At 41.4% G+C, this 3,943-nt stretch overlaps 1 annotated feature.

The window, feature by feature from the left end:
* Positions 901-970: an enhancer, noted in NCBI's record as "active region_29667". NCBI's record gives its function as "activates an Ori minimal core promoter by ATAC-STARR-seq in GM12878 lymphoblastoid cells {active_cell/tissue: GM12878}" and the evidence as "EXISTENCE:reporter gene assay evidence [ECO:0000049][PMID:35858748]".

A 3,943-nucleotide genomic window follows, 5' to 3' on the forward strand; every position in this document is an offset into this window, starting at 1 on the left:
CTGAATTGGTTCCATCGAAACTTTGTCCCTGAGGTCAGGAAGTACCATGCCAATCAGGGATTGCCTTTTAAAGTTCTTTTGATATTGGACAATGCCCCTGGTGTCCCAGCACTCCATGAGTTCATCAACAAAGGCACTGGAGTGGTCTACTTGCCCTCAAACACAGCATCTCTAATTCAGCCTCTAGATCAGGGGATCATAAGGACCTTTAAGACTATTACATGCAGTACCCTATGGAAAGGATTGCTCTATGGAAGAGAACCCAGATAGAACATCATGAAAGTCTGGAAGGATTACACCATTGAAGATGCCATCGTTGTTATAGAAAAAGCTATGAAAGCCATCAAACCTGAAATAATAAATTCCTGCTGGAAAAAAACTGTCTAGATGTTGTGCAAGAGTTAACAGGGTTTATGACAGAGCCAATCAAGGAAATCATGAAAAAGATTGTCAATACAGCAAAAAGGTGGGGGGTGAATAGTTTCAAGATATGGATCTTGGAAAAATTCAAGAGCTAATAGACACCACACCAAAGGAAATAACAGAAGACATCTTGATGGGGATGAGTGCTTCTGAACCAGTACCAGACGATGAGGAAGAAGACGTAGAAGCAGTGCCAGAAAACTGACATTAGACAATCTGGCAGAAGGTTTCCGATTATTCAAGAATACTTTTGACTTCTTTTATGACATGGACCCTTCTATGACATGGGCACTGAAACTAAAGCAAATGGTGGAAGAAAGACTGGTATTGAATAGAAACATTTTTAGAGAAATGAAAAAGCAAAACAGTCAGACAGAAATTATGATGCATTTCTGTAAAGTTACAGAATGTACTTGCCTCTCCTGCCTCCCCTTCCACCTCCTCCAACTCTTCAGCCTTTGTCACGCATGAGACAACAAGACCAACCCCCCTCTTCTTCCTCCTCCTCAGTCTACTCATTGTGAAGATAACAAGGATGAAGACCTTTATGATGATCCACTTCCTCTGAATGAATAGTAAATATGTTTTCTCTTCCTTAAGATTTTCTTAATGACATTTTCTATCCTGTAGCTTATTTTATTGTAAGAATACAGTATATAATACATATAACATACAAACTATGTGTTAATCAACTGTTTATGTTATCAGTAAGGTTTCTAATCAACAGTAGTTAAGTTTTTGGGGAGTCAAAAGTTATATGTGGATTTTTGAGTGTGTGGAGGTCAGTACTCTAACCCCTACATTGTCCGAGGGTGAACTGTAATTTGCAATTTTCTAAAGTTACCTCCTATTTATTGCAACAAGTCCATTTCAATGTGGCTGGATGTGGTGGCTCATGCCTGTAATCCCAGCATTTTGGGAGGCCGAGGCAGCCCGATCACCTGAGGTCGGGAGTTCGAGACCAGCCTGGCCAACATGGTGAAACCCCGTCTCTACTAAAAATACAAAAATTAGCCAGACCTGGTGGCTGGCACCTGTAATCCCAGGTACTCGGGAGGCTGAGGCAGAATTGCAATGTACCCAGGAAGTGGAGGTTGCAGTGAGCCGAGATCGCGTTGTTGCACTCCAGCCTGGGTGACAAGAGTGAAACTCTGTCTCAAAAAAAGAAAAAAAGGAAATGTTTTCTCAGAATTGTCCCCTCTCTTAAATTTTTGAGTCTTTTCATGAGCTCACGATTTGTCTCTGACTGCTCATTCTGAAGAGGGGACTTAATGTTTGTCTATTACTGGCATTAGAGACAGGTTCTCTCTGAGATGGTATTTCAGACAAAGGAGAAAAGAGAAAGTTCATATTTTCTGTAGTTTTATTTTTCTATGTTGGGGGATTCAACTGTGACATGAGGAATATGACATGAGCTACCAAAATGTAGTTATATGCCAGGGATTTTAACTGTTTTTTGAAATGATGAGCTTTCTCCCCTCAAGTAGTCTGTGGGCCAGTGCAATGTTGTGTAGTTCCCAATGTTTCTCATGACTTGAATTTTCTCCTTAGAGTGAGATTTCCTTCCATTTTTGCCTCAGGCTCCTGCTGTCTGAGGTTTGGAGTTCCTGTGTCAGATCATAAGTGTAATTGCCCATGGAAAATAGGGAGCTCATGGTACAAGAACCTTCCTGATGTGCCAATGTTTATTATGATAGCCTGCAGTAAATTGGGGCATAATACCCCTCCTCTAACTGGTTCAACGACCTTCTTTAGGATCTTGCTGTGGTGATGCCTCCCACTTTTCATGCCATCTGCAGCAAATGAAGGCTGGGGTCAGGCTTCAGCTAGTTGGTCCCGATGTGAAATGCTGGGACAGTTATTACAATCCGTTGGGTCCCTCTGTGGCATCTCTCTGCTCCCAGTTCCTGCTGCTAACTTTGAACATTTCCAAATCTTTTCTGGGGAATAGCCCTCTTACCTTTTAAATGAGCCCTACTGGCTGGGCGCGGTGGCTCATGCCTGTAATCTGAGCACTTTGGGAGGCCAAGGCAGGCGGATCACCTGAAGTCAGGAGTTCGAGACCAGCCTGGCCAACATGGTGAAACCCTGTCTCTACTAAAAATATAAAAAAATTAGCTAGGCGTGGTGGTGCATGCCTGTAATCCCAGCTACTCCGGAGGCTGAGGCAGAAGAATTGCTTGAACCTGGGAGGCAGAGGTTGCAGTGAGCCGAGATCACGCCACTGCACTCCAGCCTGGGCGACAGAGCAAAACTCCGTCTCAAAAAAGTAAATACATAAAATTTTAAAAAACTGAGCCCTACTTTGCCTGTGTTGAATTGTATGTTAGTTGCTGCTTTTATCAAACTGTCTTTTAGATGTTTTATAAAGTTTCTGATATATTCGTTGTTAACTGAGAAAGACTTTTTCCCATTTTACACTTCTATGGTTATTTCAATCAGAGATTATGAAAGAAAGAGACTTAAACATGTGTGTTGAAATCATTATCTTCTCTGCATACCAAAGTGCTTAGGGATGATGTATACTGATGTCTCCAACTGACTTTGAAATGCATCAAAATAAGATAAGTTGATGGATAGATATATGTGATAAAACAAATATAGCTAAATATTAATTCTAGAATCCAGGTGATGAGTATGAGTGTTCACTATATAATATCTATAATTTGTTATATATTTGAACAATATCATAATACAATGTTGAAACATCATTATCTTTAAACTGGAAATCAATTCTTTTTTTTTTTTGATACAGAGTCTCACTCTGTTGCCCAGGCTGTAGTGCAGTGGCATGATCTCGGCTCACCGCAACCTCCACATCCTGGGTTCAAGTGATTCTCCTGCCTCAGCCTCCTACGTAGCTGGGACTACAGGCGCCTGCCACCATGCCTGGCTAATTTTTTTGTATTTTTAGTAGAGAGGGGGTTTCACCATGTTGGCCAGGTTGGTCTCGAACTCCTGACCTCAGGTGATCCGCCCGCCTCAGCCTCCCAAAGTGCTGGGATTACAGGCGTGAGCCACCATGCCTGGCCTGGAAATAAATTCTTAAACTTAACTTCGCTTCACATTTGTTTGGAGAACATCTTCAAGTAATTTTCACAAGAAGGTACTGGTGATGTATATTTTCTGAGCCTATGATTATCTTTTGCCTTCTTAAAACGTCTCTACTTGAATTATGCCCTCTGTCATACAATCAGTATTTCCCTCTCAACTAGATTTTTGCCATACCCTAGCTTCTCTAAACTTAACAATCATCCTTTGAGTCCTTCTGCAGATACTTCCACATTAGGGGATGTGCCAGCCTTTCTTGTTCACAGATACATCCCCGAGCCTAGAATAATGCCTAGGCCTTATTAGTCATTTAGTAACTATTTGTGGAGTGAATAAATGAATATCTCTGTTGTTCTTAATGAGCCACACTTCTAAAAATGGTTGTCTGTACTCTTCTTTATTGCTACCACCTCTTGACTTCCCTTATCACCCCCTTTAAATTTGGTTTCTACCCCCATAACTCAACTGA

This window comes from Homo sapiens, chromosome X (assembly GCF_000001405.40).
Source record: "Homo sapiens chromosome X, GRCh38.p14 Primary Assembly".
In the NCBI taxonomy this organism is placed as follows: domain Eukaryota; kingdom Metazoa; phylum Chordata; class Mammalia; order Primates; family Hominidae; genus Homo; species Homo sapiens.